This window comes from Homo sapiens, chromosome 14, assembly GCF_000001405.40.
Source record: "Homo sapiens chromosome 14, GRCh38.p14 Primary Assembly".
In the NCBI taxonomy this organism is placed as follows: Eukaryota; Metazoa; Chordata; class Mammalia; order Primates; family Hominidae; genus Homo; species Homo sapiens.
This window is the reverse complement of record NC_000014.9, coordinates 90,930,049-90,945,275: the sequence shown is the minus strand read 5'-3', so window position 1 is coordinate 90,945,275 and position 15,227 is coordinate 90,930,049. Positions and strand designations below refer to the sequence as shown.

The following is a 15,227-nucleotide window of genomic DNA, read 5'->3' as shown; positions in this document are numbered from 1 at the left end:
TTTTGTGTTCTGTTGTGTTGTGTTGATACAGGGTCTTACTCTGTTGCCCAGGCTGGAGTGCAGTGGCACGATCACAGCTCACTGCAGCCTCAACCTGCTTGACTGAGGTGATCCTCCTACCTCAGCCTCCTGAGTAGCTGGGACAACAGGCATGCGCAACCACACCTGGCTAATTTTTGTATTTTTTGTAGAGACAGGGTTTTGCCATGTTGCCCAGGCTAGTTTCAAACTCCTGAGCTCAGATGATCCTCCCATCTTGGCTTCCCAAACTGCTGGAATTACAGGCATGGGCCACCCACACTTGTCCGTTTTTTATTCTGTTCTTTTAAAAAAAAAAAAAATAGAGACATTGGGTCTAAAAATAGACATATGGTCTCGCTCTGTTGCCCAGGCTGGAATGCTATCATAGGTTGCTGTGGCCCCAAACACCCTGAGCTCAAGTGATCCTCCTGCCTCAGCTTCCCGAGTAGCTCTAGGACTACATGTGTGCCACCACACCCAGCTAATTTTTTTTTTTTTTGAGATGGAGTTTTGCTCTTGTTGCCCAGGCTGGAGTGCAGTGGCACGATCTCAGCTCACCGTAACCTCCACCTCCCGGGTTCAAGTGATTCTCCTGCCTCAGCCTCCCGAGTAGCTGGGATTACAGGCATGTGCCACCACGCCCGGCTAATTTTGTATTTTTAGTAGAGTCGGGGTTTCTCCATGTTGGTCAGGCTGGTCTCGAACTCTTGACCTCAGGTGATCTGCCCACCTCGGCCTCCCAAAATGTTGGGATTACGGGCGTTAGCCACCACTCCTGGCCCAGCTAATTTTTAAAATTTTTTGTAGAGATGGGTCTCACTGTGTTGCCCAGGCTAGTCTTGAACTCCCAGATTCAAGTGACCCTCCTGCCTCAGCCTTCCAAAGTCTAGGGTTACAGACATGAGCCACTGTGCCTGGCCCCTAGTGTTTTTCTGTATGCAATTTTGATTTCCATTTTAAGAGATTATTAAGAACTTTCTCATATTCTTAGCATTGAGGAAAACAATATTTCTAAGTTTAGAAACATTTAATTCAGGCTGACATAACTGAAAACATGAAACAGAATTCATGCAGATCAAGCACCTCTTATATGAGTTGGATAGATTATTTGTTATATAGCTGAAGTGTTTTGCTATAGAACTTACAAAAAAGTAAGTTTTATAAATGCAAAGTAAAACAGAGGGATCTATAAATGTTACTTAATTGATTTTCTTTGCTTATTTAGAACTAAAGTTTGAGCCTAGTGCAGTGGCTCACACCTGTAATCCCAGCTACTCTGGAGGCTGAGGTGGGAGGATGGCTTTAGCCCAGAAGTTTGAAGTTGCAGTGAGCTAGGACCACGCCACTGCACTCCAGCCTGGGTGACAGAGTGAGACCCTATCTCAAAACAACAACAACAATAACAACAACAAAAAACAACTAAAGTTTGAGTAAAATTAACCTATGATCTTCAACCTTTATGTTTAAGAGCCTGTTAATCAACAATTCTTTATAAATTTCCTATTTTATACATGGTGTGCTGCACAAATACCTATAAATACATAAAAAGTGAAAAAAAGAGTTAGAGTATAGGTATATAAAGACAAGTAGGAAATAGCTAGAAAATATCAGTCATGTATAGGTAAGTACAATGTAAACATAGGTGTTGTAGGATGAAAAACAAGGAAATGACAGGGGATCTGGTTAGTCAGGAGAGTCTTCTGAAGCCGTTAGGAAGTGATGGACAAGAATTGGCTATGAAGGCACCTGAAGGTCATCTAGAGTGAGAGTGAACTAGGAAGAATAGAGACATGAAGAAGCACGAGTCAAGAGGGAGGCCCTAAAGAAGCTGACCCAACAAGGTAGACCCTGTGCACAAGGAGAACAAAGACGTGGTTGGAGAGGTCCAGAGAACGCAGCAGATAAAAGAATTTCCATTTTCCCTGACCAATCACCAAGAGCCATTACAGGATCCTGAGGAGGGAAATGCCTTAAAAAAAAAAATAAATAAATAAAGGTAGACGAGAAAGACTGCCCTAATTCATTTTTTTGTAAATTATTTTAAAATTTATATTTCTTTGTTTTTGCAGTTGGGGATTATATATCGTGATATTAAGCTTGAGAATATTCTACTTGATTCTAATGGCCATGTGGTGCTGACAGATTTTGGTCTGAGTAAGGAGTTTGTGGCTGATGAAGTGAGTATATTTTAATTTGAAGTTAGTAATAACAGCATGTAAACAAGGATGAAAACTTAGCCGTAGAATAAACATTTAGCAGAAAACTGCCCTGTGAATTCTGAACTTTTGTGCAGATTTGTCCATGGAAAATGTAGAGATTTTTAGTTTAAAATTCGTATGGAGCCGTCCTGTTAAAATTGCGGTAAACCTTGATGGGTATATCAGAATTCCTATTTATTTAAAAAAGAAAAAAGACACTATGCATTTAACTTTCCCCATAAAATATGTAAAATATAACTGAAAAATCAAATAACTCTTTTGGCCCTTCAGGAGAATTATGGCTTTGATAGTGGCCAATAAAGAATCATAAAGCAAAGTACATACAGTTTACATTGTGGTAACAAAGTAGGACATGCTATGAAGGCCCTTTGAATTCGCTTGACAAGAATGACAGAGATCTACTAGACCCAATTTTTAAATAATATTGCTGGTTTTTGCTCAACATGAATTAAAATATGGTGGCTAATGTGCAGATTTTACATTTGGAGAACTTTAATTTTCAGTATTAATTAGAATTTGTTTAATATTACAAATGCATTTAATGACACTTAAAATTGTACATCTATTAGTTGTAATTAAGTACTGTTTATGTAATGGTTGTAATAGAAGTTACATTTATTTCTGCACTACTAGTTATTCAAGATAACTAAGTAAATTTGAATGTTAGTTTCGTTTCTATCTAGGAAATTGTTGGTATAGAATATGAAATCATACTAAAATTTTTGTAGTGAAGGACTTTGTTGTTATAAAAGACATCATTCTTGGATTCCAAATTAGGTATATCTATTTCTGATTGGTTTTTGGAGTATATTGCTAAAGCAGTCCTAGGTGAGTGAGATAAGTGCTGAAATTATAAAAATTAAAGATCCTAATTTTTTAATCGCATCTATATTCATTCAGTTTACTTATAAAATAAATATTTATTTATCCCCTCTACTATGCTGGGTACTGGACAATACAATAATAAATGAAGTGAAAATGATCTCTGCCTTCATGAAGCTGAAGTTATTACAGTAAATTGATCATCTTTGATACAAATATCGTAGTTATAAAATAGATGAATTTTGAGTTTACTTCTAAATTTGATTTTTAAAACTTTTTATGCCTTTGTAAAAATTTTAGTGATGACTTCAGCAAATTGTAGCAGATTAAATCTGTTTACCGTTGCCTCCTTAATAAATCCCACAAGGATAAAAGGAAAGGGATAAGATAGACATGCACTCCAAAGGGAAAAGAGAAAATAGCAACTACATTTTAGAAGATGGATGACAGTAACATGGGAAGCCTAAAAGCAGGCTCTCTGTACTTCTGACCCCCTAAAAAGGTTCAATAACTGGAGACAGCAGGTATCCCTCGAAGTAGGCATGCAAGTGATGCAGGACCCAGGAGGATTGATTGAAAGTCTGTGTAAGAAACAGGTAACCCCCAGATCCTATCTCTGCCCCTGTTCACATAGGCAGCTGTGCCTTCCTCACCCTAAGGGAAGACTGACAAGGTCTGTGCATTCAGGGACAATGGGCACAGCTAAGGATGAGGATACCATACAGAAAATGACAGGTATGGTGAAAATGGACACACAGAACTGTGCAAACTCCCTCGGCGGCTTTCTAGCACTTCACTGAGCACAGTGGCTTCCCAGGCAGGAGTCTGGAGGAGTTTTCTCTGAGAAGCCAAGAACAAAATCTCCATAGATGTTGTCAGTAATTTTGCCACTGAACTGGCCCAGCCAAATCTCTCTACAGAGAAGCCTGGGGCTTGGCAATCCCACCCGGTGCCACAGAAGCATGTTTGTAATGATGCCACATTTAAAAAAAATAGTTTTGTGACTGTATTTTACTATAATTAATTTCCTCTATAATGCTATCTATTTTAAAATATTATTTTGAGAAGGGGTCCACAGGCTTCAACAGACTGCCAAAGGGGTCCTTGGTTTGTAAATGTGTAAAACTCCCCCTGCATAGAGAGATTTGATGATCACTTTTATTTGCTCATTCCATTGATATTTGTTGAGGGCCTTCTGTGTGCTAGATCAGCAGTCCCCAACTTTTTTGGCACTAGGGACTGGTTTCCTGAGAGACATTTTTCCCAAAGACGAGGGTCGGGGTATGGTTTTGGGATGATTCAAGCACATTACATTTATCATTAGATTCTCATAAGGAATGTGCAACCTAGATCCCTTGCATGCACACTTCACAATAGGGTTGGCACTCCTAGGAGAATCTAATGCCACCACTGATCTGACAGAAGGCAGAGCTCAGGTGGCAATGCTTGTCTGCTGCTCACCTCCTGCTGTGCGCCCTGGTTCCTAACAGGCCGCAGACCAGTACTTGTCCATGGCCTGGGGGTTAGGGGCCCATGTGCTAGATGGTAGGCTAGGTTCTGGTAGTACACTCATTAAAAGAATCACTTAATAATTCCTCTGTTTATAGGTGTGTGTGGCAGATCATTTGGCAATAGATAGAAACAGACTTTGGCCCTGGGGAACAGCAAAATGTTAGGACTCAAAACTAAACAAACAAATAAAAATCAAAGTTGACCAGAGTTGCTAGGTCTTAATACAGTAATAAGCATTAGTCAGAAATGCTGTGTGACTGAATCAGCCAGGTCACTCTTCACAAGAGGAGAGTTTGCTGCTAGTCGTGTCAACAGCCACCCTTCAAGGGGATGATGGAGATCCAGTCAAATACCATCATCTTTGAGCACTTAGTGGTCTGGGTGCAAAAATGAAATAGGAGAGTTCAAGCTGAAGTAGAGGAGTAATTAGTAGGCGCCCTTATTTACTGAATACAGCCTCACTCTAGGTTATGTTAATAGTTTAACATTACTATTAAGCTTTAAGGGTTGCATATCTCTTTGATCCTTAGACTGTCTGCTCATTCTTCCTGTTAGCCCTAGAGGACATACTATCATGCTTGGCTTCAGGTTTAACTCTCAGGGCTCAGGTAGGAATTTTCCTTTGCTGAGTCCTCTGAAACTTGATCTAATGGTTCTTTGCTCCTCTGATTCCACCCAGCACCTATTTAGGAAGTTTCTCTATCTAGACCCTTTCTTACCTTAAAAATATTCCCATGAAACCATTTCTATTTTGATTAGCTTGCATTCCTTTTTGGTTTCCATGTCAGCCCCAACTCATATCAAAATACCATATTTTTTGGAACAAGTTTCTTTCTGCTCCATCCCTAATCTGCCTCCTTGGTTTCCAGGTTAAATGTGTATCTTTATGGTATGGTTTGGCTGTGTCCCCACCCAAATCTCATCTTGAATTCCCACATGTTGTGGGAAGGACCTGGTGGGGAGTTAACTGAATCATGGGGGCAGGTTTTTCTCATGCTATTCTTGTGATAGTGAATAAGTCTCACGAGACCTAATGGTTTTAAAAACGGGAGTTTCCCTGCAACAAGTTCTCTCTCTCTTTGTCTCCTGCTATCCATGTAAGACATGACTTGCTCCTTCTTGCCTTCCACCATGATTGTGAGACCTCCCCCATCCACATGGAACTGTAAGTCCATTAAACCTCTTTCTTTTGTAAATTGCCTAGTCTTGGATATATCTTTATCAGCAGTATGAAAACAGACTAATACAGTAAATTGGTACCACGAGTGGGGTGCTGCTGAAAATGTGGAAGCGACTTTGGAACTGGGTAACAGGCAGAGGTTGGAACAGTTTGGAGGGCTCAGAAGAAGACAGGAAAATGTGATAAAGTTTGGACCTTCCTAGAGACTTGTTGAATGGCTTTGAGTAAAATGCTGATAATGATATGGACAATGAAATCCAGCCTGAGGTGGTCTCAGATGGAAATGAGGAACTTGGTGGGAAGTAGAACAAAGGTAACTCTTGTAATGTTTTAGCAAAGAGACTGGTGGCATTTTGCCCCTGCCCTAGAGATTTGTGGAACTTTGAACTTGAGAGAGGTGATTTAGGGTATCTGGCAGAAGAAATTACTAAGCAGCAAAGCATTTAAGAGATGACTTGGGTGCTATTAAAGGTATTCAGTTTTAAAAGAGAAACAGAGCATAAAAGTTCGGAAAATTTGCAGCCTGACAATGCACTAGAAAAGAAAATCTTGTTTTCTGAAGAGAAATTCAAGCCAGCTGCAGAAATTTGCATAAGTAAGAAGGAGCTGGATGTTAATCACTATAACAAGTGGGGAAAATGGCTCAGGGCATGCCAGAGACCTTTATGGCAGCCCCTCCCATCATAGGCCTGGAGGTTTAGGAGGAAAAAATGGTTTTCTGGGCCGGGCACAGGGCCTCTCTGCTGTGTGCAGTCTAGGGACTTGGTGCCCTGCTTCCCAGCTGCTACAGCCATGACTAAAAGGAGCCAAGGTACAGCTCAGGCTGTTGCTTCAGAGGATGGAAGCCTCAAGCCTTGGCAGCTTCCATGTGGTAGTGAGCCTGTGGGTACACAGAAGTCAAGAATTGAGGTTTGGGAACCTCCGCCTAGATTTCAAAGGATGTGTGGAAACACCTGGATGCCCAGGCAGACGTTTGCTGCAGGAATGGGGCCCTCACGGAGAACCTCTGCTAGGGCAGTGCAGAAGGGAAATGTGACGTCGGATCCCCTACACAGAGTTCCTACTGGGGCACTGCCTAGTGGAGCTGTGAGAAGAGGGCCACTGTCCTTTAAACCTCAGAATGGTAGATCCACCAACAGCTCGCACCGTGCACCTGGAAAAGCCACAGACACTCAACACCAGTCTGTGAAAGCAGCCAGGAGGGGGACTGTACCCTGCAAAGCCACAGGGGCGGAGCTGCCCAAGGCTATGGGAGCCTACCTCTTGCATCAGCGTGACCTGGATGTGAGACATGGAGTCAAAGGAGATCATTTTGGAGCTTTAAGATTTGACTGCCCCGCTGGATTTTGGACTTGCATGGGACCTGTAGTCCCTTTGTTTTGGCCAGTTTCTCCCATTTGGAGTGGCTGTATTTAACCAATGCCTGTACTCCTGTTGTGTCTAAGAAGTAACTAACTTGCTTTTGATTTTAGAGGCTCATAGGTGGAAGAGACTTGCCTTGTCTCAGATGAGACTTTGGAATATGGACTTTTGAGTTAATGCTGAAATGAGTTAAGACTTTGTGGGACTGATGGGAAGGCATGATTGGCTTTGAAATGTGAGGACATGCCAGGGGTGGAATGATATGGTTTGGCTGTGTCCCCACCCAAATCTCATCTTGAATTCCCGCATGTTGTGGGAGGGACCTGGTGGGAGGTAATTGAATCATGGGGGCAAGTTTTTCCCATGCTGTTCTCATGATAATGAGTAAGTCTTGCAAGATCTGACTGTTTAAAAAACGGGAGTTTTCCTGCACAAGTTCTCTCTCTCTTTATCTGCTTCCATCCATGTAATATGTGACTTGTTCCTCCTTTCCTTCCACCATGATTGCAAGACCTCCCCAGCCACGTGGAACTGTGAGCCCATTAAACCTCTTTCTTTTGTGAATTTCCCAGTCTCGGATATGTATTTATCAGCAGTGTGAGAATGGACTGATACACTCTGCCTGCCTTCTCTTCTCTTTAACCTCTTCCTCTTTGACCATTTCTGTCACTGTTTAAGTAGACATAGTCTTTCCATCTTAAAATTTTAAAAATGGGGAGATGAATGGACTGATAAATAAAAAGGAAAAAAAATCTCAGAATACCATATTCCCGCCTAGCTATTGTCTCATTGTTCTCCTTTGTCAGTATTTGTCTCTACTTACTCACATGTCCCTTACTCCCTTATCAATTCCAATTCTGCTTGTACCTCCTTGCCCCCCTACCCCGCCACCATCTGCTGAGGCTGTTCTTGCCAATGTTACCATTGACGTGCATATTAATACTTTTTAGTTACTTTATTTGACTGCCTGGTAGTACTGAACTTGAAATCACCTCTCAGCTTGGCTCTGTGACACAACACCCACCTGACTTTCCTTCTCTCTCTCACTGCCTTTTGTTGGCTCTTCCTCTTCTACCTGAGGGTTCCCCTCAGCTCAGTCCTAGGTACTCTTCTTTTTTTTATGCTGTACTCTTCTTACATGCTGCTCATTCCCAGCCTTCTCTTGGCCAACCTTCTCTTCTGGGCTCAAGACCCAAATATGTGAATGTTTTATCTCCACTTGACACTTTCACAGGCTCCTCAAACTGAACATTTTCAAAACAGAAGTAATCTTCCACCAAAATCTGCCTTTCTGTCAGTATATCACAATTTTATATTATAAATTCTGGCCTCATTTGGTCTGGGAAATATATTTAATCTTCAGGAATTTACTTTTTATGTATGTTTGATGTTTCTGCTCATGATATTATACTTATCTCTGTATATATATTAATTTAGTAATTCAAAAAATCTTGGAGTACTTACCATTGCCAGGTATTGCACTAGACCCTACAAATATAATGGTGAACATAACAAATTCCTTACCCTCCTGAGCCTGTATTCTAGAGATATTTGTCAAATATTCATATAATTATTTCTGGGTTTTTTGTTTTTGTATTTTTTTTTTAAAAGATGGGGTCTTGGTCTGTCACCCAGCGTGGCAAGATCGGCTCACTGCAACTTCTGCCTCCTGGGGTCAAGCCATCCTCCCACCTCAGACTCCCAAGTAGCTGGGACTCCAGGCACATGCCACTATGCCCGGCTAATTTTTGTATTTTTTGCAGAGACTAGGTTTCACCATGTTGCCCAGGTTGGTCTTGGACTGATCTCAAAAAATCCACCTGCCTTGCTCTCCCAAAGTGCTGGGATTATAGGCATGAGCCACCAGGCCCAGCCCATATAATTATTTCTGGATAATGGTTTGCAGCCTAGACTACATACAGGTTAAAGTAAATTTATTTTAGAAACTTTAAAAATATTTTATGATAATAAAAATTTGCTACTTTTACTGTTCTGTTCTCAACCAGAAAATTCGATCAAGCTCTTGAGATTCTGAAAAATAACAAAACATCTCTAATTTTCAGGCTAATATATATCTTCCATAGAATTTTTTTGGTAGTACAGTTTTACAAACATTTGTTGAGTTCTTACTTCAAGTCAGAGAATCTGGTAGTTATTGGATATTTGATTTTAATGTTGACAACTTTAAAGACAGTTAAAAAAAGTGTTGGTAAAGTGATGATAGCTTCAAAATTGTGTCTGTTCATATTTATAAGCAAATAATGTCAAAAAGGACACGTGTTTATGCTTAAATATGGTATATGCATTCTGTTTTTATAATTTAACAGTGAGTGCTTGAAAATTTTCAAAACAGATCATTAACACGAATCCCCAGGTAGATAAATACAACTTTAAGGTTCAGAAGAAAAATAATATGTTGGCTGAACAGTACAGAGTATCTGTACTTAAAGGGAAAAGCCTATGGATTTATGACTGTTTCTCTCTTTCCAGAAGTAGAAAAATCTAACCTTGCTCAATTCAGATAATGTTATTTATTGATTAATTCTTTGGACAATGTAAGAGGCATTTTAGTTAGGGGGATCTTTTTCTGGTTCTCTATTTCTTAGCTTTAGGACATGAGGCAAGTCACTTCGTCATTAACCTCTCTGAGTCTTAATTTCATCATCTGTAAAATAATATTTATCATACCTAATTTATAGAATTATCATACAGACACAATGAATTAATGCTTGTGAAAGTACTTTCTAAAGTATAAAGCACTATATCCGTTCTATTTCTGAGAAGTACTGTTTACATTTCAGATTACTGTGAGCAAAATTAAAATATACCATTGAGAATTTAAAATTATTCTCTTTATTTTCTTTTTTGTAGTTTTAAATTACATCTTTCTCTAATAAATGCCTAGCTAATAGTGCCACTTTCAAGTTTCTGCTGTTATAATGTACGTATCTCAAGATGTGTAGGTAAGGGTCGGGCTCCATAAAGAGCGTGTTTGCATTGAGAATCAGATAACCTAACCCTAAACCAGCTTTTTAGTTACCTCTGTCTCCCTTCCTAATTGATTTGTACTGACATGTAGTCATGATTTTTTTTATTTGCATGTGTCCTGAAAATCTATTAGGTCTCTGATAATAAGCTCTATCAGTCATTTGCCAAAATCAGTGACTCTAGGATAATTTAGTTATTTTAAGGTAAACATTGAGTTGGAGGTGTTGGGAAAATAGGAGACCTAGAAACCAAAGTGTTACCCTGTTGCCCCAGTTCTTCCTTTCTTAAAACACTATTACACAATATTCAGATGCCAACACATTAGCTTGAGCCGTTCATTAGTGAGATTTTTTTCCCCCAGATATCTGAGCAGACCTTTGATTCCCCTCCAAAGGTTGGGGGGTAAATAGGGATTGCCTGCCAGCTGTCTGCTTCACAGATCCCTTTATAATTATTCTTATGGCAGAAATTTTTGGATCTACTAAAGTTTATTCATAATACGATTTTTTTTAAGGTAGATTCAGTGTGAGTAACAACACAGAACAAGCAGGGACAACTTTTGAAATGAGATTATTTTCACAGAAACTTCCAAGTATATATTTCATTTGTTCAAATAATGTTAAATATGTGTTTTTAAATTTACTTGATAACTATATTTAGCAGTCACAGTTTATTTTTATCTATTTTCTAAGAAAGAAAGGAAAATGATTCAGAACTATGCTGAGTGTCAGGGACTTTAAAGTCCATAAGGGCAAAAGATATCCTAGAATAATAAGAATTCATAAATGTGAATAATAAATGTTTATATTTTCCAAATTTCTCTTTAAATTTTTATGCTATAAAGCACAATAAAAATAGAAAATAATATAACTGAGTTTATGTGCCCACTCTTCACATTTTCAGTTATGAAAATTTTATAATTTTTTCCATTAATTCAGTGAATATTCATTGAATGTCTCCTGTGATCCAGGCACTGTTCTATCTCAGTGTTGAGATCTTGCAATGAATGAGCAAAATGGACACAAATTCTTCCTTTACACGGGGAGGCAGACAATAAGAAATAAGTATTTCTGTAGTATGTTAGATAGCAATAAGTTGCAAGAAGACAAGTATAGTAGGGAACAGGAATAGGGAATAGGGTGAGAAGAGGCTACACTTTGAAATCAAGTGGTCAGGAAAGGCTTCACCAAGGTGATAGTGCAGTAGAGACATGAAGGAAGTGAGAGAGTCAGCCATGTAGATATCTCAGGAAGGAGATTTCTAGGTAGAGGGATCAGCCAATATTAAGGCCCTTTAAGGTGGGGTTATGGAATGAGTGAGGGTTAGAGGCCGTTGTGGGCATACAGAATGAGTGAGAGTTACAGTAGTAGGAAAGAAGGACATGGAGGTGATCATATGGAAGAAGGATTGTACAGATTACTCAGGGCATTGAAGATCATTGTAAGGACTATGGCTTCTTCCCTGCACAAAATGGGGAGCCACTGGGGAGTTTTGAGTAGAAGAGTAGTGATCTCCTATTTTGGAAGAATAATTCTGGTTGATAACTGTGATAATCCTGTAGTGGGACAAGTGTGGAAACATGAGGTCCAGATAGAAAACTGTTGAAGTAATCCCAGCAAGAGATGGAACTGGCCTAGACTATGGAGTAGCAGATTTTAGGACTATTTTGACATTAGATCTAATGGAATTTTTTGATGAGTTAGATGTGGGGTATGAGAATTCAGAAGAAATCTAGTGTGGCCCCAAGGTTTTTGGCCAGAACAGCTGGAAGGATGAAATTTCCATCAACTAATATGGGGTAGGCTGCTGATGGGGAGCTATCTGGGGTTACAAGAGGAGAAGTTCAGCTGGACAGGTTAAGTTTGAGACATTTATTAGACACACAGCAGAGATGTTAAGCAGTGAGCTATATGAGTCTGGAATTTGGGAGAGAAGTCTGGTCTGGATCTATGAATTTGGAATTTGGAAAACAAGGTGGATTGTCTCAGAAGACAAGTGAAAAAATGTTTCAAGGTTGAAAATGATTAACTGTGTCAAATGCTATTGTTAGGTTAAATAAGATGGGGACTGAAGATTGAGCATTGATTGGCTCAGTTTTAACCTTAGGAAAGAGAATAGCAGTAGCCTTATTGTCTTCCACATATGTAGACAACTTGGGGTTTTCTGTTAAAAGGAATAGTGAAATTCTGTGAAGAGCATAGCAGAGGATGAAGTGAGGATGAAAAGAGGGTTTTTTCCCCTAAGATGGGAGAAATTACAGATGTCATACACTAGTTAGAATAGTCCTCAAAAGGAAGTGGGGTAGATACACTGATATCTACCACCCAAACCCAGATATCTATCTCCTATAATAATACAGCAGGTAAAGTGGGAAATTGCTGGAACACTGTCCTTGAGAAGGATAATGTCAAACGCACAAGTGAGTTTGTGCGTGATCATGCTACTAGTGCTTAACGAGTAGCATGGTCAGTTCATGCTTAGAAACTGAAGAAAGTTGAGTTACTAGGCACACATGTGGGTGGAGGTTAAGTGGTGTGTACTGGCAGCTTATAGAAGGTCTTCTGTTTTCTCACTGAGTATGAGGAAGGGAGTGGACACATCGAGGTTTTAGGAGAAAGGAGATGATATAAAATAACCAACTAACAATGTGGGAGAGTGAACGGATTAGGGAAATGAATGTGTTTGCTGGGTACTATTAAGACCCATGTGAGATTCCTGATCATGAATTTAAAGTGAAATTGCCTGGGCTGATGCCTGTAATCCCAGCACTTTGGGAGGCCGAGGTAGGAGGATCACTTGAGCCCAGGAGTTTGAGACTCAACAGCCTGGGGAACAGTGTTGGGCAACAGTGAGACCTCATTCCTATAAAAAAATAAAAAAATTAGCCGAGCATGGTGGCACGTGCCTGTATTCCTAGCTACTTGGGAGGCTGAGCTGGGAGGATTGCTTGAATCCGGGAGGCAGAGGATGCAGTGAGCCAAGATCATGCCACTGCACTCCAGCCTGGGTGACAGAATGAGACCCTGTCTCAAATGAATGAATGAATGAATGAATGATTGAATGATTGAATAAAATCGGCCAACCTGATTATATGGTTTTCTCCAACAATGTGTAGCTGCACTGGTGCAGGTAAAGAGTATGTGGTGGATTAATTTTAATTGTGTTTTAGTACCCTTACTTCATGTGTGTATATCCGTAAACAATATATACTATTACCATGTTTTTTAAATGTACATACATGACATATTCTATTGCAAATTGTTTTTTATTTGACCTATTCTTGAAATTTATCCAAGCTGATAAATGGGATGTTTCATTTATTTTAACTGTTGTGTAATAATCCTTTATATTAGTTATCCAGTCTATCTTTTCTCCTACTGAGGTACATTTAGGTTGTTTCTATGTTTTCTCTATCACAGTGTTGCATTTTTTCCCCTGATGTTATTGATTTGTTGGAGTTCGTTAAGTATTATAGATACCAACCCTTTATAACTATATGTTTTGTAAATTTCTTTTCTAAAATTTTAACTTGTTTTTAATTTTGTTTAATGATCTTTTTTGCCATTTAACATTTTAATATCCAATGTACTAAATCTTTTCTTTTACGGCTTATTTTTTTAATTTTAAAAAAATTTTAATTGTGGTTAAAAAAACACAAAACAAAAATTGCCATCTTAACTGTTTGTGAATATATGGTTCAGCAGCTTTAATAATACTCATTTTGTTATGTAACAGATCTCTAGCACTTTTTCATCTTGCAAAATTAAAACTCTATACCTTTTCCCCCGTCCCCTAACCCCCAGCAGCCACCATTCTACTTTCTATTTCTGTGAGTTTGACTACTTATGATATCCCATGTCAGTGGAGTTGTACAGTATTTATTTTATTTTTGTGACTATTTCACTTAGCATAGTTCTCAAGGTTCATGCATGCTGTAGCATGTGACAAGATTTCCTTCTTTATTAAGGCTGAATAATATTCCATGGTATTTATATGCCACATTTTGTTTATTCGTTTATCTGTTGATGGACATTTGGATTGCTCTCACCTCTTGGCTATTGTGAATAATACAGTGAACGTGGTTGTGCAAATATTTCTTCAAGAGGCCTGCCTTCAATTCTTTTGGATATATACCCACAAGGGGGATTGCTAGATCATATGGTAGTTCTACTTTTAATTTTTTGAGGAACATTTATACTATTTTCCATAGCAGCTGCACCATTTTACATTCTCACCAGCAGTGCTAAAAAGTTCCAGGTTCTCCGTATCTTTGCCAACACTTGTTATGTTGGTGTTTTTGTTATTATAGTGGCTGTCCTAATGAGTGTAAGGTGAAATCTCATTGTAATTCTGATTCGCGTTTATCTCTAATCATTAGTGATGTTGAGCATCTTTTCATATGCTGTTAACCATTTGTATGTTATCTTTGGAGAAATGTCTATTAGAGTCCTTTGCTCATTTTAAAATCAGGTTATTTGTGGGTTTTGTTGTTTTTAGGAGTTCTTTATATATTCTAGATATTAACTCCTTATCAGATATATGATTTGCAAATATTTTCTCCCATTCTGTAGGTTGCCTTTCATTCTGTTTCTTTCCTTCGATATTCAGAAGTTTTTAAATTTGATATAGTCCCATTTGTCTATTTTTGCTTTTGTTGTCTGTGCTTTTGGTGTCATATCTAAGAAATCGTTGCCAGATCCAATGTCATGAAGCTTTTCCCATGTATTTTCTTCCAGGATTTTTACAGTTCTAGGTCTTACATTTAGGGTATAAAATCAGGTGGAAATATTTTATATTTTTAATACAAATAACCCAATTACCTTTTAAGTATTTGTTGACTAGTCAGTTAATCTTTTCTCTTCTTATTCGAAATGCAACTTCTGTCATATAACTAAGTTCCCAAGCATACTTACGAGTCTGTTTTTAGGCTCTTCATTGAATTCCATTTGTCTGTTTGCCTCGCTCTGTATCAGAACCAAAATATCTTAAAGCATCTGGCTGGCCGGGCGTGGTGGCTCACGCCTGTAATCTCAGCACTTTGGGAAGCTGAGGTAGGAGGATCGCTTGAGGCCAAGAGTTCAAGACCAGCCTGGGCAATATAGCAAGAATTCATCTCTACAAAA

At 38.9% G+C, this 15,227-nt stretch overlaps 1 protein-coding gene across 14 annotated transcripts in view; it reads left to right on the top strand.

Annotated features, from left to right (window-relative positions):
• The window catches only part of RPS6KA5 (ribosomal protein S6 kinase A5), a 212,781-nt gene that overhangs the window by 115,366 nt on the left and 82,188 nt on the right, over positions 1 to 15,227 (top strand). For 13 of the 14 annotated variants that reach the window (NM_001322232.2, NM_001322236.2, NM_001322231.2 and 10 more), the window contains one exon: positions 2,091 to 2,198. The exons of the other annotated variant lie outside the window; for it this stretch is intronic. In NM_001322232.2, coding sequence (NP_001309161.1) covers positions 2,091 to 2,198 — 108 coding nt within the window. The remainder of the gene's footprint in view (positions 1 to 2,090; positions 2,199 to 15,227) is intronic. 14 annotated transcript variants of the gene reach the window in all.